At 49.2% G+C, this 23,755-nt stretch overlaps 1 protein-coding gene across 13 annotated transcripts in view, besides 4 other annotated features; it reads left to right on the top strand.

Annotated features, from left to right (window-relative positions):
- Window positions 1-23,755, top strand: part of PAX5 (paired box 5) — a 201,000-nt gene that overhangs the window by 88,796 nt on the left and 88,449 nt on the right. For 9 of the 13 annotated variants that reach the window (NM_001280551.2, NM_001280556.2, NM_001280555.2 and 6 more), the window contains one exon: window positions 21,989-22,118. The exons of 3 other annotated variants lie outside the window; for them this stretch is intronic. In NM_001280551.2, the coding sequence (NP_001267480.1) occupies window positions 21,989-22,118 (130 nt within the window). Of the gene's footprint in view, window positions 1-14,528; window positions 14,586-21,988; window positions 22,119-23,755 lie in introns of all 13 variants that reach the window. One more of the 13 variants, NR_104000.2, reaches the window with a different exon arrangement.
- Window positions 9,540-9,589: an enhancer, noted in NCBI's record as "active region_28362". NCBI's record gives its function as "activates an Ori minimal core promoter by ATAC-STARR-seq in GM12878 lymphoblastoid cells {active_cell/tissue: GM12878}" and the evidence as "EXISTENCE:reporter gene assay evidence [ECO:0000049][PMID:35858748]".
- Window positions 9,650-9,809: an enhancer, noted in NCBI's record as "active region_28361". NCBI's record gives its function as "activates an Ori minimal core promoter by ATAC-STARR-seq in GM12878 lymphoblastoid cells {active_cell/tissue: GM12878}" and the evidence as "EXISTENCE:reporter gene assay evidence [ECO:0000049][PMID:35858748]".
- Window positions 15,673-15,812: an enhancer, noted in NCBI's record as "active region_28360". NCBI's record gives its function as "activates an Ori minimal core promoter by ATAC-STARR-seq in GM12878 lymphoblastoid cells {active_cell/tissue: GM12878}" and the evidence as "EXISTENCE:reporter gene assay evidence [ECO:0000049][PMID:35858748]".
- Window positions 16,342-16,391: an enhancer, noted in NCBI's record as "active region_28359". NCBI's record gives its function as "activates an Ori minimal core promoter by ATAC-STARR-seq in GM12878 lymphoblastoid cells {active_cell/tissue: GM12878}" and the evidence as "EXISTENCE:reporter gene assay evidence [ECO:0000049][PMID:35858748]".

Raw genomic sequence — 23,755 nt, 5'->3', positions numbered from 1 at the left:
ACCCAGGAGTTTGAGACAGCCTGGGTAACATAGTAAGACCTCATCCCTACAAAAAATTGAAAAATTAGCTGGGCATGGTGGCTCATGCCTGTAGTCCCAGCTACTAGGGAGGCTGAGGCAGGAGGACTGATTGAGTCCAGTAAGTGGAGGCTGCACTGAGTCATGATTGTGCCACTGTACTTCAGCCCTCCCTGGGTGAGAGTGTGAGACCCTGTTTCAAACAAACAAACAAAAAACTAAAAAAAAAAAGACAGTTGTCCAAAGGGAGTTTTGTTTTTTACCATAAAGACAGGAATGTGGCTGTACCTGTCCCAAATATCTTCCAGTTCATAGCCTTTGTGACTGTGTTATACAGAGAGGAACTTTGGCGTCTCCGTCATCTATAGATCTGTGCGTTGGAGGTCTGTGATTGTTGCTACAGCAGTCTTCTGAGGGGATTCCTGTCCCTGTCTGTGGGTAGTTGCAAGGCTCACTCTGCGTGGCTTCAGGCCTGGGTTCCTGTCAGGTCACTGAGCTTTCACATGAGGGTGTCAGTACCACTTCCAGCTCGGTCTGTGTTTAACCATAGGCACAGAGCAGCATCCCTCCGGTCCCCGGTTAGAAATAAAAATGCTTGGAGAACATTTAATTTATGTCCCTTTCATTTATTTTAAAATCATTACCGGATAAAGCCATTCAATTGGGTAACTGCCCCACCAGTGTGGTCCCCTTAGAGTTATACTGAACCCATATGGAGACACCCTAAGAAATCACGTTTGAAAACCACCCCTGGATCTGAAGCGCATTCGGCACTTTCTCAGCTTGCTCTTTAGGGGGGTTTTGGGGAGAAATTCCACCTGGTTTGAGAGTTAGTCAGAAAACCTCTGAGTAATGGGCGGTCTGCATCTCATGGACTCTGTGAGGTCGTGAACCAGCTTCCCTTCTCCAGCTGGCAGTGGGGAGGGCCTCATGCAGTCCTTCCTGGAGTGAGATTAAAAGCCTCCAGCCTCATCTCCTGGCTTTGAGGATGTGGAGAGCATGGTGGTTGAGAGTGGGCACTAGGGCCAGGCTGTCTGGGTGCCGTCCTGGCTCCATCACCTACCAGCTGCACGATTCGGGCAGGTTATTTGCCCTTGCTAAGTCACAGTTTCTTCATCTAAAAAATGGGGATAATGAGTGCTTGCCTTATAGGGCTGTTAGAGGTTTCAATGAGGTCCCTGTGACATGTGGCACATGTTGACATGAGCGTGCCCCATGTGTTTGTTGTTGGGTCCAATTATTATTATTTTTTAATCAGCTTTTATTTTTTTGAGACAGCGTCTCTTTTTGTCACCCAGGCTGGAGTGCAGTGGTGCAATCATAGTTCACTGTAACCTTGAACTCCGGGGCACAAGCAATCTTCCTGCGTCAGCCTTCTGAGCAGGTGGGACTACAGGTGTGCACCAAAGTACCTGGCTGATTTTTTATTTTTGTAGGGATGGAGTCTTGCTATGTTGTCCAGGCTGGTCTCAAACTCCTGGCCTCCAGTGATCCTCCTGCCTCAGCCTCCCAAGTCCCTGAGATTACAGGTGTGAGCCACTGAGCCCAGCTCTAGTCACTTATTGGGTCCATTTTATGTTTTCCCTTTTTCTGTCCTTTCTTCCCTCCATACCTCCATATATTTTTTACATCCTTGTGAGCTGCTTATATCTTTTCTGGAAAGTAGTGAGGTATGAAAAAATGAGTGATTAATACAGTTAATTAATATAACAATGGCTTATAGGTGTAGGTTCTTTGGAACCTACGCCTATTCTTCTCAAAGTCTTTCATGTGTCTTTTCTGATTTTATTACAAAAATTCTCTTGCAACATTAATTTACCCAGAATTCTTACACAGTGATCCTTAGGCCTTCTTTTCTGGTATTAAGTAGCTTGCAAATATGTAGCTGTGTGTGTGTGTGTGTGTGTGTGTGTGTGTGTGTGTGTATGTTGAACTAATCCACAAATACTCAGCAATATCTTTAGGAGAGCTGAAGTTAGCAAGTAAGATCAGCTTTATTGTACTGTGAAGATCTGATTTTCGAAAGTAACGTGGGGTGTGTAAAACTCCAGTCTCGTGTCCTAGAGGCCAAGCATAGCCATTTGAAATGAGGAATAGGAAAGAATGGGGAAACAGATTGGAGCCACCACCTATGGGATGCTAGGAGCCAGACAGGTAGGCACTGAGGAGACTTGGGGATGCCAGACTCCCCATCTTTGCCTGGGCTCCCCCTTGGCCTGCACCCACCTCAAGGCAATGTGCCTGGGGAGGCAAACCTGATGGACCCGTAAGTCAAGGTGATTCTGGCCACATCCCAGGGAATGGGAAGAAAAGAACGTGAAGCAATGGAGATGGGGGACGGTGGGACTGAGATGGAGAATAGCTGGATTTGGCAGGGCTAGGGTGGGCCTGCACTGGAGGAGGGTAAGCACAAGGACATAGCAGGCCCTGGGTAGGGAAACTGAGAGCTGGGTGCAGAGAAGGAGAGCGGGAAGACAAGGGTCAGCGGGTGTTACGCTCCATGGTTAAAGGCTGAGGCACTTGCAGCCTTGTAGGGTAGCGTCAGCAGTGCTGAAGGCCGTTGCCCGGCCACCAGGCCCTGCCCTTTCATGGCACTGCTCCTCCTGGGCTCACTCTCTTGCAGGCAAAAGCCAGGCCCCACAACCTCTAGCAACTCCTCTGCTAAAAGCTCTGCTTCCAACATCAGCACTTGTAGCTACATAACCTAGGTTAAAATTTTATTAATGGCGTGATCATGGGAAAGTCACTTCATCTCTCTGTGCCTCAGTTTCTGCATCTGCAAAAAGGAAGAAGAATGAGAACCACACCCCTCTGGTAGAGGCAGAACAAAGCCCAGTATGAAAGCTGTGTCAGCAGCTGAGCACGACTCTTACAACAGAGCAGGGACTTGCACACGTCCCACCCCTGGGTCCTCCTCAAGCCCACCTAGCACATGGAGGGGGACTCTGTGTGTAAAAGGTGCTGTGAAATTACCTGACTGCTTTCACATCTGTGGCCTTGTTTGATCACTGTGAACGCTTCTGTGATATGAAGGCAAGCAGACGCTATGATTCCCATTTTGCCTGTGAAGCAAGTGTAAGCCAGGGAAATGCATTTTCTTTGCTCTTCCTAACTCCAAGTGTTGCTTTTCCTGAGACCTGGGCTCTGATTTGAGGCCTCCTGTCTTACAACAGTGTCCCCTTGATCAAGTCTTTCCCCTTCAGCTTCCATCTGAAAATTGAGGGGATGGGAATGGGGATACCCCAAATCCCTTCAGCTCAGACGCTGCCTAGAGTTATAGGCCTGACCTAGGAGGCCTGGGTCCTTTCCCTGAGCCAAGGAGAGGGTCAGGCTCCTGGACACGCAGGTGGGCACACGAGTTCATGTTTCAGCCATCAGCTGCCTGGGCACACTGCCAGGGTATTAAATGAGATAATGAGATAACACGTGCAAAGTGACTAGCACTTGATCGAGTGCTGCTATTATTATTTTTACTACCACTATTATTCTTCAGGAAGCAGAAGTGAGTTCAAGTACAAGCTCTTTTTCTTACTAGCTATGTGATTGGAAAGGGTCTGTCTTGGGAGATGCCCTATGCACCCCTGCATCATCCAGTGAGCCTGGTGTGAGTCTCATGTCCTGGAGGCCAGGTGTAACCATTTCTCCATCTCAGTCCCACCCCCGCCCCCACCTCCACCGCTTCATATTCTTTGCTTCCCATTCCCTGTGACGTGACCAGAATCACCTTGACTTGTGGGTCCACCAAGTTTGCCTCCCCAGGGGCATTGCCTTGAGGTGGGTACAGGCCAAGGGGGGAGCCCAGGCAAAGAGGGGGAGTCTGAGGTCTCCAGATCCTCCCCAGTGCCTACCTGGCTGGCTCCTAGCATCTCACAGGTGGTGGCTCCAATCTGTTTTCCGTTCTTTCCTATCCCTCATTTCAAATGGTTGTGCTTGACCTCCAGGGCATGAGCTGGAGCCAGGACAGGAGATTCACGCCCGGCATACTGGGTGATGCATGGGTGCATAGGATACCCCTCAAGACGGACGCTCTCAAATCACACAGCTGGTAAGAGGCAGAGCTTGTATTTGGACTCACTTCTGCTGCTTCCTGAGGAATAATAGCGGTAGTAAAAAGAATAGATAGCAAAGCTCTGTCAAGTGCTGGTCACTTGGCACACATCATCTCATTTAATACTCAGAACAACTCTGTAAGGGAAAAACTATTATGAGTTGTGTTCCACAGATAGGTAGCTGAGGCACACAGGGGCAAAGCCAGGGTCTGTGATGGGTGGTGCTGGGGTTCTAACCCAGCTCTGTCTGCTTCCTGAGCCTGCTGGCTTAGCGGCTGTGCAGGCCACGCCCTTGCACGCTAATCCGTGCTTTCTCTTACCCTACAGCTGCCTTCCAATATGGTTTAGCGTTTACTGGGCATTTTCACTCTGTTGCTCACCAGCAGCAGCTCTAGTGCTTCTGGGCCTGTTCCTGCCTTCATTACCCCTTGTGCCTGGGCCTCTGTCTCTCCCACTTAACCTGTTTTCAGGGCTCTAATTATCCACTCTCTACCTGGACCCGTAATCTTCTCCTCTCATTGCGTTTCTTTAGGATATTTTCCGAGTACCTGCCGGGTGCCTGGCACTGCTCTAGGTACCTGGAGATTCAGCAGAGAACAAAGCAGATGAAAATCACTGCCCTTGTGGAGCTTCTAGACTCCTGGACGGAGATGATTTCTGACCCTGATGCCTGGGTGCCTCTCCAGACTCAAATTCGATTCTCCCTGGTGCTGTGCACTGAGAGCCCTGCCTTCTCCTGCTTGCTGTTCCTGGGACAGCAGCACATCCTGGTGTCCACTTCTAGAGGGCCTGTTTTCCCCTGGAGACCTGACCTCCTCCTCCAGGCACCCTGGGGATGTTGCCGTGGGCTCAGGGCGGGTCCCAGGGCTGCTCCTGGGGGTCGTGTGCGCAAGCATGTGATTTACCGCGCCTCACTGCGCCACACGTCTTTAAAATTACAGTGCCCATTTCCTGCTGAAATAATTTCCACAAAGAGTGGCTCCTATTACCACAAGAGGCGTGCAGACGTCATGATTTATTATTATTTATGGTCCCAAGGCCTTGTTTATGCAAGATGGGTTAGGTGCGTGCGATAGAAATGCCATTATGTAAATGACATTGAATGTCCTTACTGCGCCTAAATAATTTTTGTGTTGGACGATTAAACCTCATCTGTTATTGATATGGGCTGCAGTCGGGCCATTACAGAGTCCCAACAGTACTTACTCCCAGTAATGGGAAAATTGAGAGAGAGAGACCAACGCAATTGCCTCAAGTGGGCTGTGATGGTCTGGAAGGAGTAGAACATCTCCGGGGCTGAGCAGGGGAGCCTCAGACTCCTCAGGATAAATAAGGAAGGCAGCGCCGGGCAATAAATTAAGCCCCGGCTGGAGTGGGTGCCTTGCAGGATTTGCAGCCTTCCAGCCCTGTGATTTAGCTATTTGATTTAGCCAGGGGACTAGGCAGCCCCAGCCCGAGTTCCAGTGAGGCCCCGCGTCGAGGGGAGGGTGACAGGAGGAGAGTGGCCACGAGGACACTGGGCATCCAATCTGCTGCGCCCACACGACGCCAGCGTGCACCCGCACGCGAGCGCTCTCTCACTCTCTCTCTCTTTCTCTTGCTTTTTCTCTCTCTCCCTCTCTCTCTCCCTCTTTTTTTTTGACACAGCTGTGAAGTCCCATTTTGATCAGTGTTGATAGCTTATGAATTCCAAAATTGACAAAATTTACAGAAAAATGAGGATAATCCATCTTCCTTAGCAGGCTGTCAGGAGCTGGCCATACTTCATAATCTCCAATTACAGATGCTATTTTCCGACATTTACATGCAGATATTAGAACCAAATGAAAATGAGAAACAAAGAGGGAATGGAAATGCAGCTATTTATATGTATAAAAGACAAACAGGTAAATTCAAGACATTTAGATTGGATTTGGGGTCCCTTTAGGAGGCTGGAAAGAGACAGCCTTGAGCACGTGGGGTTTCAGAACAAAATGGCAAGACACGTGGTCTCAGCAGGGCCTACCCAGGGTCTGGTGGTTTGGGTTAAAAATGGGTCAGCCCTGCCCAAACGGCTAAGGATGCTTGACTGGGGGTGGGGGACACGTAGGGCATCCCCCAGGGCTTTAAGGGTCTCTGAGGATCACCCACAGCCCATACTGAGCAGTAAAACCCACACATATTTCATGAAAGGGCCAGTTTAGAACCTTCCACATTTATTTTAAGAAAGAAAGGGTGGTGGGGCAACTACCATTGGAGCTTTGCCCTAGGGCAAATTTAAAAAGTTGGCCCTTTCTGGTGACAGAATGTACATACTCCCGCTGAGAAGGGGACACAGGAAGGGGCCGCTGCTTGTCAGAAAGGCCCTGGCCAGGTGCATAGGGAGTTGCACCAATAAACTTTTAAAATGGGATATAAATAATAAAATTAATGGGGAGAGAAGGAGTTCTGATATATGGATCATCCGCTTCCTTCTCGAGGCTAATCTGGCTGAGAGAGGAGGGTCTGGGAGGAGGCTTTGTAATGAAAATGTTCTTCCCATAAAATTGAAGGGAGAACAGCCTTGTTGCCCTCGCAGCTGTATGTGGCACTGACTTCTGGAAAGCCGGGGATATTAATTAGCACTGCTTTGGATTAAACTCTCCCAACCATGTCGGATGGTACGATTTTTCTCTTTGTGAGCTTGACAGAGGGTGGCAGGAAGGATCCTGCCTGGGTTTTCCCAGCCTACTGTTATTACTGAACTTTTATTTGGGGATAAAACCTCTTCCTTTCCTGGAAATAAAAATGAAATATTCCAGGGTTTTCCAGGGCAATTGGGCAGAGAGAGGCTGTTTTGTTGGACCAGGCAGAGGAGGTGGAGACGGTTGGATGGGGAGATGTGAACATCTCAGTTGCTTTTGGCTTGAAAGCTTTTGTTTGTTTGTGGGAAGCCTATTTCTAGCAAGCAGTTTTATGTTATTTGAGCTTTGATTTGTGGGAAAGAGGTGAAGGAAATAAAATCAGGAGTCTAAATTAATATATGTGTGTGTGTAAGGGAGAAGAAATTATTAAAAATCCAACTCAGACCAAGCCTTTAGACGTGTGTTTGTTTACATGTCTAGCCTCAAGGCAAATGGCTTGCTTGTCTAAGTAAATTATAGGTATTAGCACGAAAAATAATTATTATGCTTTGTTTCTAGGTATGAAATGCAAGATTCATGGAATTAACACATAACCACAAAATGCAAATATATTTCCGTAATTAAAAGCAGAAGCTCTTAAGTAAAGTTAACCCTGATAAAAAGGCATACAAGCAGAAACACCACCGTTGCTGTGCTAGTTTTGTCTAGATTATTGACATTAGCTAAAATTTGGGCTTACACATCATAGCTAAATCCTAAGCCTAGTGTCTCCTTCCTTTAGTTTCTGATCTTTCTAGAAGCCAGAATATCACCTTCAGTAAAGAACAGAGAGGACTTGAACTAAGCAAACAGTCACATGCCTGGTTTTTCCTTAATGGTGCTAACAGTGCCACATGTTACTGTTTATTTCTCTATTGTTTTGCACTAATGTTAAGATGAATTGCTAATGTTGGCATTAAATGGGAGCCCTGCTGTCCTCTGAGTTGACGGTGTAGGAGCTTTCTGTCTAAATGAGGAGAATAAAGGATAAAGTTAACAACATCTGCGGCTAAACCTATCTGGAAACCTTTTCTATAGGAGGTCATTCTTCAGCCAGGATTTGAAGGGGTGGATAGACAGGAACTGGAGGAGAGAAAGTGAGAGGGCGCCCGGCGGGGAAAGCATGGCCATGTCAAAGGTGCAGAGTCAGGTGGGTTATCTAAAGAGGTCACCAAACACAGGAAGAGGAGCCTGGCCTAGCAGGTGGTGTCCCCGTCAGGGCTCCGGCACATCGTGGAGCAGTTTACAATCAGAGTAAAGAACACAGGCTTTGGAGTCAAACAGAAGCTGGGTTTAACCCCCGGCTCTGCAACTTACTCAACTTCTGTCAACCTCAGTGTTCTCATCTGCAACTTGTTGGGGTTAGTAACAGTGGCAGAGGGGGTGTAGAGTGGTGTTTCAGAGCTTGGACTCTGGAGTCGCACTGCTGGGGGGTGAACTGGACACGTTATTTTGGCACCTTGTGTCTCATTTTCATCATCTGTAAAGGGAGGGTAGTAATACTTACCCTGTAGGGTTGTTGCAAGGATTAAATGAATTATTAGTAATACATTTTAACATCTAGAACAGTACCTGGTACACAGTAAGCACCCAGTCAATGCAAGTTATTCCGCCTCTTAGTAAAGGTATGTGAGGGTGTAGGGGGAGCTGGTAGAGTCTTCTGAATGGCAAACCAGGGAGTCTGAATTCACCATGAGAGGCCTTGCCTTTGCAGCCTTCTCTTTCTGGTAGTTGCCTTGCACAGTTTTTGTTTGGCCCTAGGAATCCTTGGTGACCCAGAGGGCACTCCCTCCTGAGGCTGGCTGGGTATGCCTTTGCAGAGCATCACGTGTTAGGAAGTTCCTTCTGACAGGGAGCGGAAGGGCAGAGAGGTGGTCTTTGGCCTGAGGAGTGTGTGTGTGTGTGTGTGTGTGCATGTGTGTGTGTGTGTGTGCATGTGTGTGTGTGCCTGCAGGTTCCCACATGGCCAGAGGTGGTGGTGGTGGGGAGGGGCATCCAGGCCCACCTCCCTGTCCCCACCCTGCCACCCTATTGATCTGGCCATGTGGAGTGAAGTTTTCTCTTTTCATTTCTCCATGCCTCCAACATAACCTTTCTGTCTTCCTTGTAGCTGGGAAGTCATGCCAAAAGAATGTGAACTATGAGAGTCTTAGGGTGCTCCCTCTCCTCCCATGCTAGGTATTTGAGGATGGGGATCCTCCCTTTGGACCCCTCATTCAGGCCCCTTTGTGGCCAAGAGTCCTGCACTCCCTTGGAGGTAATGGCCTCCCTGCCCATTACTAGCCATGTAGTGGGAAGAGCAGCTGGGCCCCATCATGGACTGCCTGGAAGAAGCCTGTGGAACTTGGCCACCTGGAGATGGAGCTTTGTCCCTGGAACTTTCCCTCCCTTTGTCCACATTAGGCTCTGGAGCTGCTCGTGACCCAGCCAGGCAGAGCTGTAGCAGGTGCAGAGGTTTCCCAGACAGGGAGTCCCCATCCCCCTTCCCCACAGGAGTCAACCCTACTGGGATCTTACTGTTTAGGAGGCTTTGACTACCGGGTCCTGGGCCACTGGGTCCCAGTTCTCATTCTCCAGAAGTGGAGCTTTGTGCTCTAAGCCTTGTCAGGATAACCTTTCTGTCCACGTATTTGGGAAGACCTGTGAGCTTGCAAATAGCACACTGGTTAAGGGAAGGAGAAAATACCTAATCACTTTCCATTTCTAATGAACTTAGAGTGAGCCCTGCCTTGACCGTGAGAACAGTATGAATCAGTCAGGTTCTAGGCTACCAGGAAAGCAGAAGCAAGCATCATACGCCCCAGTCCGACAGCATGTCTGGTGGAGGAGTGGAGGCCCTGGGGCCCCGTGCTGGATCCAGGCAGGGAGGGCACTGGCACCTGTAGGACCTCTGTTGGAACTGGAGCTCCAGAGAGCACACCCAGGACCAATGTAGGGAGACCAGCATTTAGCACTTTCTCACACCGGAGCTGTGTGGCTGCCTCGGAAAGTAGTGAGTTCCCATCACTGGAGATACCCATTTGGTGGATTTCAAGTGCCAGGTAAAGATCAGCCTACAGCACTCCTGAGCTCCATTAGACCCTGAGATTTGGGGCTTACTAAAATTCCGTAAGAGGACAGGGGAAGAAAAGGGCCTTCTGATTAGTCATTGCTGAAAAGTTGCTCTCGGACAGAAGTTAAAATGTCTGACTTTGGTGGCCTCCCTGGGCTTCCCCTGCTGGTACCCACCACCACTTGGGAACCTGTCTGGGGGTGTGCCTGAGGGGGGCCTGGCAGGCTGTAAACAGAACAGGGGGAGATGAGTCACTGAAACTGTATAGATCTCTTCTTGGAAGCCCTTCAATTCTGCTGCAAATCATTTTTTTTTTTGTTTGTTTGCTTCGGAGATGGAGTTTCGCTCTTGTTGCCCAGGCTGGAGTGCAATGGCACAATCTCCGCTCACTGCAACCTCCGCCCCCCGGGTTCAAGCAATTCTCCTGCCTCAGCCTCCCAAGTAGCTGGGATTACAGGCATGCACCACCATGCCCGGCTAATTTTGTATTTTTAGTAGACACAGGTTTCTCCATGTTGGTCAAGCTGGTTTCAAACTCACAATCTCAGATGATCTGCCCGCCTCGGCCTCCCAAAGGGCTGGGATTACAGGCATGAGCCACCATGCCTGGCCTGCTGCAAACCATTTTGACCCAGGCCATGAGTACATTTCTGGAGAAACAAATGAATAAAGAGCGTGTTTGGCCCATGTCCGTGGCAACCTCTGATGAATAAAAGCACCTTGACATCACTTATCCTCTCAGTGACCCTGGGAAGCACCTCTGGCACCGTTGGAAGAGCCAGGCCATGGTACCTGTCCAAGTTCATTTGATTCCACAGGCATTTATGTCACATCTGTTCAGAGCTGGGCACTGGGCCAGGAGCTGCTGCCACAAAGATGAGGGAGACACTGTCTCATCCTTATGAAGCTCACACTCTAGCTGGGGGATGATGTCCCTAAACAGTTAAATGTATAATGCAGAATAATAAGTGCTGTGGCAGAGAGAGGCACACTCAGCCATTTTAGGAACACAGAGAAGGGGGAATCCATGAGGGCTTCCTGGAAGAGGAAGGCCCTTCAACATCCTTTGTAGTACTTCCCCCTAGTTAATATTAATGGTAGCACTTTGTAGATTATGGAGTATTTCTGCAAGCATCATTCAATTAAACTTTTTATTTTGAGATAACTGTAGATTCATATGCAGTTGTAAGAAATAATACCGAGGACTCCTATACACCCTTTACCGAGTTTCCCTCCACAAAAACATCTTGTAAAACTATAGTACAATAAATTGACACTGATAGACATTGAGTCCAAGATACAGGCTATTTCTACCACTGCAAGGATTCCTCCTGCTGTTTTTTCAGTAGACATTTTCAAAGTATTTATTTATGAGTCTAGCACTGGGGACTCAAAAACTGAAACGCAAAAGGCCTGCCCTCCAGGGCTTTATTCTGATCTCTCTTCTGGGCTTTCTCACAACCTTGTGAGGTAGGTCACATATCCCCCTTACAAATGAGAAAAGGTACCAAGAGTGAGAGGTGCCTGGCCTAGTTTCACACAGCACAGACTTGGCCGTGTCAGGCTTGAAGTCTGTCCTCCTGGCCCCAGACCCGGTGGAATTCCTCAGCCACGCTGCCTCCCCTGGTTGCTGTCAGGCCTCTGGATTCGGGGACCTGAGGTCAAACGGGCAACATCTTCACCAGCCCACAGAGGGAACCTAAGCCCTTCCTGGGGCCATATCAAGGAGAACCCCATTCCACACAGTGAGGACCCCATCTTGGTGGGCACAGACATTAGTGAGTCAGAAGGGCCCCAATGGATTTGGTCCATCTCCCTCATGACAGATGGAGTCACTGAGGCCTGGCAAGGGGAGGGTCTGGCCCTGGTTGCATGGGAGTCCAGGGCAGAGCCAGGTCTCCAGGTCCCTTGCCACCCCATCTGATCCATTGTAATCAAGGCAGAACTACTCCTTAACATACACTTTGCCAGGTGGAATTTTGTGTGTCCAGGTTTAAAGAACGCAGGGCATTCCTCCTTGCAGATTCAGTGCTCTTTCCCCAGCTGGAGGAGGATAGTGGGTGTGTGGCCAGGGCCCTTCATGGAGGAGTGTCTGAGCTGTACCTTCAGGGGTGGCAGTAAAGTCCCCTCCAACTCTAACTCTGCTTCCAGGTAGGGGACCAGTGCTGCACACGGGGTGGGCAGCAGGGCTCCCCTCTCTGAGCTCTAGTTCTGCATCTGTCCACATCCCAGGACTCCCGGGGCACCACGGACCTGCAAGGACTTTGCAAACTGGAAAGTGCTAGGCAGGCAAGAGGACTTAGACTTCTTGTGTTTGGAACTTTGGCATCCCTGAAGATGCAGGGATGATGGCTTTCAAGGAGCAGGGCAGGGCACCAGGAAGAGGAGGCGAGAGAGTAAGCTCCTGGCTGTCCTTGGCTTCTTGCGTTCTCTCGTTATTTCACAGGTATTTGTTGGATGGCTGATGAGCGGTGACAGGCGGTGCCATGAGTCAAATATGTGTGGTTTAACTTTATTTATTTTAACTATGGAGACTTTCTTTCTTTTTTTTCCTTTTTTTTTTTTTTTGAGACAGGGTCTCCCTCTGTCACCCAGGCTGGAATGCAGTGGTGCGATCTTGGCTCACTGCAAAGTTCGCCTCTGGGGTTCAAGCAATTCTCCCACTTCAGCCTCCTGAGTAGGTGCCCACCACCACAGCCTGACTATTTTTGTATTTTTAGTAGAGATGGGGTTTCATCATATTGGCCAGGCTGGTCTTGAACTCCTGACCTCAGGTACTCCACCTGCCTCAGCCTCCCAAAGTGCTGGAATTACAGGTGTGAGCTACCGTGCCCAGCCATAATTACGGAGACTTTCAAAGTAGACTTGGAGTAATTTAATCAGCCTCCAAGCACCCCTCCCCCAGATTCAACTCATGACAATTGTTGCACTGATATCCCTCCCCCGACACACTCCACTTATCTTTTAATGGCTTTATTGAAATATAATTTTTATATCATAAAATTCACTCATTGTAAGTGCATGAATCAATAGTTTTTAGTAGATTTAAGGAGTTATGCAACTATCACCACAGTTTGGTTTTGGACTCGTTTCATCACTCCAGAAAGATCCCTCATGCTGGTTTATAGTTAATCTCTGATCCCACCCCCATCTCCAGCCAATCATGGATCTGTGCTCTGTGCTTGTAGATTTGCCACTTCTAGCATCTCTATGGGCTATCCTATATGTCTGGACTTTTTCACCTAGCATAATGCTTTTGAGATTCATCCATGTTGTAACATGTATCAGCACTCCACCCCTTTTCACTGTTGAATAGTATTCCATTGTGTAGATATACCACATTTTATTAACTGCACTTTATTTTTCGACAAACTTCAGACATTATGTCACTTCACCTGTAAATATTCTAGAATGAATCTTTAAAAGACACAATCTTTTATTATTTTTTTGAGACAAGGTCGCCCAGACTGGAGTGCAGTGGTGTGATCAAGGCTCACTGTGGCCTCAACCTCCTGGGCTCAAGTGATCCTCCTGCCTCATTCTCCAAAATAGCTGGGACTACAGGCATGCCACTATGCTTAGCTAATTTTTAATTTTTTTGTGGAGATGGGGTCTTGTTATGTTGCCCAGGCTTGTCTCAAACTCCTGGCCTCAAGTAATCCTCCTGCCTCAGCCTCCCAAAATGCTGGAATTACTGGTGTGAATCACAGTGCCTAGCCAGACAAGACCTTTTAAAAAGCATAACCACACCACTATCACATCCACAAAGTTAGCACATCCATTCATGTCATCAAATACTCAGTTGGTGCTCACATTGCCAATTGTCTCATTATATGTTATGATTTTTTTTTTTTTTTTTTTGAGACAGAGTCTCACTCTGTTGCCCAGGCTGGAATGCAGTGGCTCGATCTCGGCTCAGTGTGCAGCCTCCGCCTCCTGGGTTCAAGCAATTCTCCTGCCTCAGCCTCCTGAGTAGCTGGGACTGCAGTCACATGCCACCACGGCTGGCTGATTTTTTTATTTATAGTAGAGATGGGGTTTCACCGTGTTGGCCAGGCTGGTCTTGAACTCCTGATCTCAGGTGATCCGCCCACCTCAGCCTCCCAAAGTGCTGTAATTACAGGCGTGAGCCACCGCGCCTGGCCATGTTTTTTGTTTTTTGTTATTTAATGATTATTTATTTTACAGTTTGTTTGAATCAGGGTCCACATTGTGACTATCGATTTGTCTCTAAGCCTCCTTTAACCTACAGGTTCACCATCTCTTGTTCTTGACTTGCCATTCATTTGTTGAAGAGGGAATCTAGACTTTGTCATGTGGCCAGTGATAGAGGCAAAGAGCATCAGCAGTGGAAGGAGACTTAGAGATCCTCCAGTGAAGGTCCTCAGACAGGTGGGGAAGCAGAGGCCAGTGAAAGGAGGGGCTTGCAGACCCCTTTGCCTGCTCAGCCTCAGTCGCTGGAGCCAGGCTCTGGAGACACCTCTCACCCACTCCAGCTTCTGTCCTCCTTCTGGGTAGATGTAGAGGTGGGCAGGTGTCTGGTCCTTCAGAATGGGAATGGTTGGCCTGGCTCTGGCCCAGCTCCCAAGGGATACCTGTGGCCTGGCGGTGAGCCTACAGGAGCCCAGCAGGTGACAGGGAGGCCTCCTGGCCCCAGGTGGCCATCTGAGGTGACCAGCCCTGCAGCCTTGCCCCATGCGCTGCCCTCTTTTGTGCTGCCCTCCTTCTCACGTGTCTGTGTTTCTTTTCTCCTCCATGCTATGGCAGTGGTGCCCCGTGCTGATGAGACAATACTTGGTGCAGCCCCAGGCAGTCCTTTTCCAGGTAATTTCCTAGGGACCCAAATGATGCCCAGTGCACACTCTCCTGGGGCACGTGCCTCCTTGAGTCCCTTGCTAGAATTCCTGAACCTCTCATATTGCTTAGTTTCCAAAGTGGTGTCCCTCTCCTTACCCCTCAGATTCTCATGATCGTCGAGGTAGGCAGGCAGCTAGGGACTAGAATTAAAATTTCATTTTACTCATGGTGAAAATGAGATTCATAGAACTGGCCCAGCTCACCTACAGCCACACAAGTGAGAAAGGGGCAGAGCTGGGACAAAAACCCTGTGTTATCACTCCTAGTTCAGTCTTTTTTCCCCCACTGGGTCAAAGGCTATCAATGATGCAGATAAAAATGAACTAAGGGCCAGGCGCAGTGGCTCACGCCTGTAATCCCAGCACTTTGGGAGGTTGGGGTGGGTGGATCAATTGAGCTCAGCAGTTCAAGACCAGCTTGAGCAACATGGTGAAACCCCATCTCTACAAAAAATTAAATAATTAGGTGCTGGGTGTGGTGGCGTGTGCCTGTAGTCCCAGCTACTTGGGAGGCTGAGGTGGGAGGATCCCTTGGGCCTGGGAGGTTGAGGCAGCAGTGAGCCATGATTGTGACACTGCACTCCAGCCTGGGTGAGAGAGCAAGACCTTGTCTCAAAAAAAAAAAAAAAAAAAAAAAAAGGACATCCATCCCTATCCCTGTACCTCAGTTTTTCTATGTTGGGAAAGATGACCCTGACTGTCCTTCTATTATAGTTCTGATATTTCAGAGGACAAGCTGTTCCATCATCTAGAACATGGTGTCTGTGAGGATGGTGCACACACCTTGAGCTGGTGGTCTTGACCTTGAGGTCTTATAAGAGTCTGTGGCAGCTGGGTGTGGTGTCTCATGCCTGTAAATCCCAGCACTCTGGGAGGCTGAGGTGGGTGGATCATCTGAGGTCAGAAGTTCAAGACCAACCTGACTAACATGGTGAAACCCCATCTCTACTCAAAATACAAAAATGAGCTGGGCATGGTGGTGGGTGCCTGTGATCCCAGCTACTCAGGAGGTTGAGACGGGAGAATCACTGAAACAGGGAGGTGGAGGTTGCAGTGAGCCGAGATTGCACCATTTCACTCCAGCCTGGGCAACAGAGCGAGACTCTGTCTCAAAAAGAAAGATTCTGTGGCAGCAGGCAGAGGAAGTTTTATCCCAATGGTTGCATTGCAGTGGGAAATCTGTGAATTGCTGACTTCAGTTCATTTCTGTTCCTGGGTCATGGTCAAGGACAGCACCAGGGTGCCCTGATGAAGAGGGAGAAGAAGCCTAAAATGACATCCTAAGAAAGAACCCCAAGGGCTCAGAAAAAGTAGGAAATGTAGAACACAGCTGTTGCCTGTGATTCTTAGGGGCTGGGGTTGGCGGGGGCAATGTACCCAAGTATGTAGGTGCACCAACACACTTACACATCTGTGACTGCGTGTGTACCTCTGCACCCCGCCACTCAGCCTTTGGCTTCGAAAAAACTGAGAAATGGAAGTAGAATGCCGTTGTTACCAGGAAAAGAGGCACCAGGAATTCCTTTCCTCTTCTCTTTCTTTCTCTCTCTCTCTCTCTCATCCATCCTTCCTTCCTTCCTTCCTTCCTTCCTTCCTTCCTTCCTTCCTTCCTTCCTTCCTCCTTCCTTCCTTCTTCCTTCCTTCCTTCCATCTTTCTTTTTCTGTCAGTTCACCTTTCCCAGCCTTCACTTTCACAAAGAACTTGAGGTGGCCTGCAAAATAAGCAAGTATGTGTATCTAAGTTAAGTTTGGAAAAAAAGTTCAGAAATTACATAGAGAAAAGGGGAAGATCATTGTGGCAGGAGCCAGCAATGATGTGCTTATGGTGGTTGAACACTGAATTTGACCGAGTTTCCTGGCAGTCAAAGCCAAAAGAGACATGCAGTGGTTTCCAGTGTTCTTGTTGTTTAGTCAGAGGCAGATTAATGACTCACCAGGGGAAACACTTTACTGGTGTTGAATTGTAGGAGGGATTGATAAGGAATTTGAATATTCTAGTGGGCAGTGTCCCCAGAGGTTTTAAACAATCTTCTTTTTATGGCTGTTTTCTTTTTTTGCCTCGTAAAAGTGTTGAATGCCTGATATTCCATCAGAGACTGGTGAAAGCACCACCCAGGGGCTTTAATATGTTGGATAGGGATGTGGCTTTCTGGTGACCTGACTCGATGTGGGGTAGAGGTGGAAGGAGGGAAGGGGATGTTAGCGTATCACTTAGTGCTCTTGTTCAAACACTTCCCAGTTAATTTTTGAGTGTTGTAGCTCATAACATGCTACTGAACCATTATTCATTCATTCATTCAACAAGCACTTAGGGGGCACTAAGGATGTTCCATGTTCCACACTGTCAAGGCAACCTGGAGGGAGATAGACAAACAGCCACTCTACATGGTGATAATGGAGGTCTGTGCAAAAAGCCACCAAGTATGGAAGCATAGACAAGGGAGAGATTGTTTCTTTGTAGGAGTGTGGAGTTCAGGAATGGCTCCACCAAGGAGGTGACATGTGAACTGGGTCTTGTGGATAATGTAAGAGTTCTCTAAGTCACGGAGTGAGAGGGACCCTCCAGGCGGAGGTAGGACAGTGTCTGGAATGGCTGAGGAGCTGTGGTGTAGCAATGTTCCAGGGAACCCAAGAGATTGGGGAGAATGCAGTTGCCTTTAAAAATCACGGACACCTCAAAAGGACAAACGGTGATGAGGACTTAGGGAACAATTAAACACCAAAACTAAATGACAGCTTCCCCTGGCTCATGCAGGAGCAGAGTAAGAACTGAGGGAATCCCACCAAAGAAGAGAGGCTGGGCTCTGGGCAAGCCCTGCAAGGTGGTTATGGTGAAAGGCCCAGATATCTGGGTGCAGTGGCTCATGCCTGTAATCCCAGCACTTTGGGAGGCCGAGGCAGGTGGATCACTTGAAGCCAGAAGTTCAAGACCAGCCTGGCCAACATGGCGAAACCCTGTCTCTACTAAAAATACAAAAAATTAACTGGGTGTGGTGGCATGTGTCTGTAATCCCAGCCACTTGGGAGGCTGAGGCAGGAGAATCGCTTGAACCCGGGGGGCGGAGGTTGCAGTGAGCCAAGATCGTGCCACTGCACACCAGCCTGGGTGACAGAGCAAGACTTTGTCTCAAAAAAAAAAAAAAGAAAAAGAAAAAGGAAAGGCACAGATGGTGAAGTGCAGCTAAGGACTCGTTTCCAAGTGTCCCGCCGTCCCCCAGGGCCTGGCTTATAGGGAGGTTTGCTTTGCTTTCTGGGAGCCAGTGGTGGTTGGATGCCTGGATTTTCGGACCTCCCGCTGCATGTATAACATAAGTTGAAGATTTCTTGTCTTAAAAAGATGATCCAAACCTAACTTTTGAAGTGGCTGAACGAGCTTTGTTTGATACTGAATTTGTTGACTAAAACAAAAATCAAATAGCAACATAAGCCTCTTCCATCTGGAAATTAAATATGTAAGGGGCAGGATATATCCCTGTTGACCACCCTTTTTGTGGTTCTTTTAAACCCAGGTTGGCTCTGCTTTCTTGGGGGAAGTAAAGGCATTCCCTTGCAGACCCAGCAGCCCAGCCCATGTCAGAGAGAAGAGGCTGAGGTCTAGGAATGTGCCAGGCCCCAGGGTGGGCTGGGGAGGGGTGCAGGGATGCTGACTCTTGGCTGGGATGCTGCCTGGCCCTAGGAAGAGCACTCCTTCCTTCATTCACCCAGTGTTCATTGTGCAAGCCCTTCACAATCGAGTTCCAGCTAGTCTACCATTCCATCTTTCCCCTTTACGCTTGCACCCCCTCTAACTATTGCATGTGCCCTGTTTCTGGGTCACTCTTGTCCTATTACCTCTGAGCCTGACTTCGGCTGTTCTCAGTCTTGGGAGTTAGGGATTGTTCACTCCCAGGTTAAATACAGCCTGCACCAAGAAACCCTTCCTGACCACTTCACGCCCCATATACATTAATGACTCTGTGCTCTTGTCCCTCTTGGATGGAATTTCTGGGCCAATGTGTCTTCTCTTGGTGTTTGTGGGTGAGGGTCAAAGAGTGTGTCTGGTCTTCACACATCATGTTGCACACAACAGGGCTCAGTAAAGGTTGAACGAATGCACGCCCACCATTCACTAGGGCATTCGGGAACACAGAGAGGAGGGCGGAACTGGGACCTACCCCTGGGGGCCCAGAAACTCTAGAAGATGCCATCTAGGAAAAGACCCTTGTCAGAGGCATTTTGACCTGCCGTCTTTGCACACAGCAATGAACTGAAGGAGTTGCTTCCAGTGAGTGGAATTCTAAATTCATGCCCGATTCATTCTCAGAAAATTAGGAGGCTAATGCCACGACCAAGTCTTGTTCTACAGAAGAGGAAGTCTAGACAGCAACCTTTTTCCAATAGCTCTTGCTGCATGGAATGAAGCAGTATTTTCCAAACTTTGCTGGCTGTAACCTAGATCAAGAAGTACATCTTAATCTCTACCTCGTACACACATACCCACTGACATGGGAAACAAAGATTCACAAAACAGGACTTATCCTTTCTATGTGGGAGACCCTTGGATATTTTTTTTTCAGTTTCATTTATAAAAATGTTGGGACCAGCAAGTTGATTTCACTGTGTTTTAATGGATCAGGTACTGAGAGTATAAAGATCATTAGGGTCATTGTCAAGGTTTTGGAGTCAGAAGGACCCAGGTTTGAATCCTGGCTTGGGCACCTAGAAGCTGTATGAACTTAGTTAGGCAAGTCATTCCTGCGCTATCATAAAAGCCTCAGTTTCTTCATCTGTAAAATGGGGATGTCATAGAGCCTGCTTCAAGGGGTGACTGTGAGGATTAAATGGGATAGTACAGCTAAAGCTCCTGGTACAGAGTGAATGCTCAGTGAGTGTGAGATTTTGATGCAATTGTGAAGACTGTGGTTGTTATTGTTCTGGCACCACTTGGCGGGGCCAGCAGAATGAGGGTGGGACTCACACTTCCTGGGGAATGGTGGTTATGAAAGACTTCTTGGAGGAGGAGGCACTGAGACAGGGCAGCAGGATGACTGGGTCCCACCACTAACCCCACAGTGAGCAGGAACTCTGCGTGAGCATCCCAGGCCAGAAAAGGCACTCTTCCTTCCATGAAGGGCAGACTTGTTCCCAAGGATTTTTGGCTGGACCTAGAGCTCGCCACGTTGGATGCCTTTGCCTTCCACATTTAGGTCTCTAATCCACCTGGAATTGATTTTTGTGTCTGGTGTGAAGATCCAATTTCTTTTTTCCCCTGTTTCTGAATGGATAACCAGTTACCCCTGCTCTGTTTATTAAAGAGTCCATCCTTTCCTGCTGATTTGTACACCATCTCCTTCATATATCACGGTTCCATATGTGCACGGACCAGGGTCTGGACTGGATTCTGTTTCATTGGCCTATTTATCTACCCCTGTGCCAATACCACCCTGTCTTAATTACTGTAGCTCTGTAGCGATTCCTGATGCCTGGTAAGCCTGTCCCCCTGGCCTTGTTCTTCTCCCTTAGAAGGACCTGGGCTTGCTTTGGGCCTGTGCTCTTCTCCACATGTTTCAGAACCAGCCTTTGATGAATGAGGATCAAAGAGCCCTGGGGAACTCTGGACATGCTGTCCTCAGCACGAATCATCTAGAGCCTGGGCCTGCAGCACCTCCTGGACTCGCTGCTGCCATCACCCCCAGTCAAAACTTTAGCTGCCCAGGAAGTAATCTCTGATTTGAAGGGAAAGACACCAGGAATGTGCCTGAGTCCCAGCCCCTTCTGCCTGCCACCCAGTGGCTCCTTTGGTTTCCCTCCCAGTGGCTCAGTCCTCATCATTTTACTCAGGGTGCCTGCAGCTCCTTCCAGAAGACTGCTTGCTTCTGTGTCCCTCCCTGACAAGGACATAACCCTGGACCAACATGGGTGTGTCCTCCATCAGCAATGCCAGCGTCCTGGAGGAAACTCCCCACATAAAATCTTCACATGCACAAACAAATTTGTTGGCTTAAGTGTTTGCAAATTCCCTCCTCCCTCCCTCCCTTTCTCTCCCTTCCTTCTTTCTTTCCTTCCTTCCTCCCTCCCTCCCTCCCTTTCTCTTTTCCTTCCTTCCTTCCTTCCTTCCTTCCTTCCTTCCTTCCTTCCTTCCACCTCTTTCTTTTTTTTGACAGAGTCTTGCTCTGTCACCCAAGCTGGAGTACAGTGGCATGATCATGGCTCACTGCAGCCTCGATCTCCTGGGCTCAGTCGATCTTCCCGCCTCAGCTTCCCGAGTAGCTGGGACTACAGGTGAAAGCTACCACACCTGGCTAATTTTTGTATTTTCTGTAGAGACAGGGTTTCACCATGTTTCCCAAGGTGGTCTTGAACTCTTAGATTCAAATGATCCACCCGCTTTGGCCTCCCAAAGTGTTGGAATGACATGCGTGAGCCACTGCACCCAGCCGCATATATTTTCTTTACCTGAAAATAGGCCCTGGGGTGGGGTGGGAGGAAGAGACTTGTCACTCATGCTTATAATTTAGTCTATCCTTCAGTTGAAAGATCCAGGTTGGTGCCTTTGCTGCCTTCTCTGGAGACCATTCTGACAGTGGCTTGGATGACAAGGAAATGACTCATTGCAAACTCTGATTTCGTGAAATGGCTTAAAGAAAGGAGCGTGACTCATGGGCTAAATACACATGGTTGGTGTGGACTTGGTAAATTAGATATGTGCACCCTGTGGTTTTCAGCATACAGGTGTTTACCTGCTTCTAGAATTCAAAAACACTTGCCAAATGGTGGCTCAGTTAGTTTGCCATATTGGATTAGGGTGGGAATTCATGGTGACCCACCCCAATTGGTATTCTTCCCTGTTGGTGGTGGGTAAAGCCCTCCTCCCCTTGAGCCTCAGTTTATTCATCTGTGAAATGAGGATTTGGAATGGATGATCTCCCAGATTCCTCTTAACCCTTGTTTCTGTGATTCTACCTTTGTGGTTTAAGAGCACAGAAATCAGAAACCGTTCTTTCCATTCTCTTGGCAAGAAGACACTTATTTCTGCCTTGCTTTTGGTTACGGACCCTCCATCCCTGCACTGAGGAGTGTGGGGTCTCTGGCCAACTGGAGCTGGGTGAGGGCAACATGCAGGCCAGAGGGAGCAAAGTTTGGATTCTTGTGAAGTTGCACTGAGTCCTGCCCACCTCCTCTCCTGGGAAGAATTGTTGATTCTGGACAACTGTCTCGTTCCACCAAGCTGACTCTGCCCTTTCAACACTGGAAGTGTTCATGAGCCCCTTGTGGGCCTTGGCACAGGCATGGACTAACTCAGCTTGGTGGCTGAGCTCAGAACGTGGAGTTGGCATTTGACTAAGGTACTGTGGAGTCTTGGTGCTGAGACGTCTCTGTTTCTTCTTTCAGACCACAGAGTATTCAGCCATGGCCTCGCTGGCTGGTGGGCTGGACGACATGAAGGCCAATCTGGCCAGCCCCACCCCTGCTGACATCGGGAGCAGTGTGCCAGGCCCGCAGTCCTACCCCATTGTGACAGGTGAGGGCACCTGGGGCATGGGGGATGAGTGAGGGAGAGAGAGAGAGATAGGAGTGTGTGGTGGGAAGAGTGGCTTCTTGGTGTGTTTGGATGTGATTGGCCAATTTTGTTTTAACAAGGTTATGAGGCCTGGGAACAGGTCAGGTGCTGGGGCCAGGGTTGCAGCTGTGATGAGACATGGCTGGATATGATTCCAACAAAGCTGGGGAGAACAAATGCCAAATGGACTGTGGGCTGGAGGGGACTTGGGGTAGGGGGCAGGAAACCTCATGCCAGAGGGGCCCCCGTGGGTGGGGCTGAGTGTTCAGAGGCCTAGGGTTTATTTCTTTCATGAGAAAGGCCACCCTGGTGGGCACCAACCTCAAGGAGGAATGGGATTCCTTGCAGATTGATGTTGGCAGGCAGAATCTGAGTCAAGAAGGGTAGGTGGCGTAAGCTGGATGGTGCATGGTGGATGCCAAGCAGCTTCCCTCTGGAAGTCCCAGGGCCAGACTCTTTAGCTGTCTGTGTAGAGATTGGGAGTGTGGGTCCTGGAGGTGCACTGTTGAGTCTGATCATGCCATTTACTAGCTGTGCAGACTTGGGTGAGTCATGTATGCGTTCTGGGCTGTGGCTTTAAGCTGCACAGCGGGACTAGTGCTAGCACCTACCCCAGGGGGCTGTGGTGAGGATTAATTTGTTCGTCTGTGGAAGGTGCTTGGACTCTCGTCTGGCACATGGTAAGCACCCAATACATGTAGCTGTTAGGATTCTTCTGAGAACCCTCTCCCTGTGGCAGGTCACCAAGGGGCTTGCTGACTTGCTGCTGCAGAAGGGCTGGATGCGTGGGCCAGGACGGGGAGACCCCTGGCCCAGCTGTGCTGGGGTAACGTGGAGCCGACTCCATGTGGACAGACTCAGCTGCCAGCTCTTGGTTGTCCAACCGGGCAGGCAGGAGGCCCGCTCGGGTACTGCACAAATAGACAAGGGGCTGGCGGGCCACACTTGGGCCAGAGCCATGGGTCTGGTTTGAGGTAGCAGGATGCCCATGTGGGCTGGTAGGCAGGGCACAGTGAATAGTGACAGTGACACGGGACTCGTAGACATGCAGGTGGACTGTGGGTGCATCAGGGAAGCTGGGTTAGACTCGGATTAGAACAGTGGAGGGGGTCACTTAGGCCAAAGCAGCAAGACAGGGAGGGCCCAGCTCCGAGACCTGGGCTGAAGGGTCAGCACTGAGGCTCAGGCAGAAGAGAGGGGCCCTATTTGCAGCTCTGAGCACCACGTAAGGGCCAGTCAGGTGGCAAGAGCAACTTTGTCCCCCATCCACCTGAGGTGGGCCAAGAGCCTGGAGTGCACCCAGGCCTGAGGTGGGAGACGTTAGCGAGGGGCAGGGAGCCGGGGAGCCCATCTGGAGTAAGCCTTTGCTGACCCCACAGGTGTCCGAGGGGGTCCCCTCCCCTGGTGTCACAAGAATCCATGACAAGACCTCTGAAGGCACTCCCATTTCACAGACACAGAAACCAAGTCTCAGGGAGGGGCGGTGGCTTGCCCAGCATAAGGGGTAAGGGGGAGTTAGAGCTGGCCCTCTGGCTCCTAGATCCTGGGCCCTTTTTCCTCTTTTTCAAGGAACTACAAATAATTATAGAGGTGGGCAT

This window comes from Homo sapiens, chromosome 9, assembly GCF_000001405.40.
Source record: "Homo sapiens chromosome 9, GRCh38.p14 Primary Assembly".
Classification (NCBI taxonomy): Eukaryota; Metazoa; Chordata; class Mammalia; order Primates; family Hominidae; genus Homo; species Homo sapiens.
Note: the sequence above shows the minus strand (reverse complement) of the source record. Positions and strands in the feature narration are given on the sequence as shown.